The sequence below is a fragment of the Homo sapiens genome, chromosome 7 (assembly GCF_000001405.40).
Source record: "Homo sapiens chromosome 7, GRCh38.p14 Primary Assembly".
NCBI lineage: Eukaryota > Metazoa > Chordata > Mammalia > Primates > Hominidae > Homo > Homo sapiens.
Genome location: NC_000007.14, coordinates 46,105,688 through 46,106,983, shown reverse-complemented (window position 1 = coordinate 46,106,983; position 1,296 = coordinate 46,105,688).

Genomic DNA, 1,296 nt, shown 5'->3' with positions numbered 1-1,296 from the left:
ATTTAGGAATACAGTAGCTCACATATACAGGAAAGTGACTCTCTATGCACCTGATCCACTGCCTTGGATTTGCTGTTTTGCAGAAATTTGCATTTTCTTCTATACACATTTATGCCAAACTGTTATATCTGAGGAAAGATGCTAGGCACAGGGTGATAATAAGGTTATTTGAAGATTAATAATTCTCTTTTGTGCAAAGGAAAAGGAAAGAGATTAAATGACTTGAGAAAAGTGTATAAAATTATACCTTACTTAAATCTTTAATCATACATTCAATGATTTCGTCTCTGCCTGAAAAGGGGTTGTTTATTCCAACTCTTAGATTTTGTTCCTGAAGAAAGTTCAAGGAGAGAGAGAGTACATGTACTCCTCAACATTCCTTTCAAGATTCATTCTTAATTTGTTACCTTAATGAGTTGTACATATATATGGGAGAAATTCAGACCTAGATAGCAGCCAGCACTGAGTTAAGTCTTTTCCATACCCTGGTCCTCAGCTTCTCAGAACAACATCTGGAAGCATCAATGACTGTCCACTTTCTCTGTGTCCTTAGAGATATAGTCTAAGCAGAGACAAACAAGTAACAGTTCCCTTTCTCTTTTTATGTCTCAAGCTAAATATTAGTACCTTATTGTGGCTTGTTTTTTGTTTGTTTGTTTAACAAATAAATCTTGGTGAAGATTCCATATCATTCCATAATAACTGCTTCACACGTTTTCCCTGCTGCATCATACTGTATAACATTATTAATGGCTGTTCCATTGCTAATTTAACTCCATGAAATTGACAGCAATGGTACACTAGTATTCTTATGCATTTGTCATTTCAGGCATGAGTTAAAAGTTTCTACAGGATAATCCTCAAAGGTAAAATTGTGGCAAAATAGGGTGTTTTTGCTTTGATAAATACTATCAAGTTACTCTCCATAGATAATTTATCAACTTATACATAAATTTATGAGAGGATCTAATTTATTTTTTTCTCAATAAATGCTTTTTTTAAAAAATAATGCTTTTTTAAAAATAATGCTATTTTTCTCAATAAATTCTTTTTCTCTACCAATTTCTTAGGTGTTAAAAAAGAAAACAGTTTTTCTTGCTGTTTTGAGGTTGAGCCTATTGTCAAGTACTTAAATGTTTCTGTGTCATTTCTGCAAGCTGTCTGCTCCTGCTCATTGCACATGTGTCTAGAAGGTTTGGTTTTTCCTTTTCCAGGGGACATTTTAATGTCTAGTTAATTCACTCTTTGTCTGCAATAAGAAGTGCAAATGTATTTTCTGCATTTGCATGTGTCTTT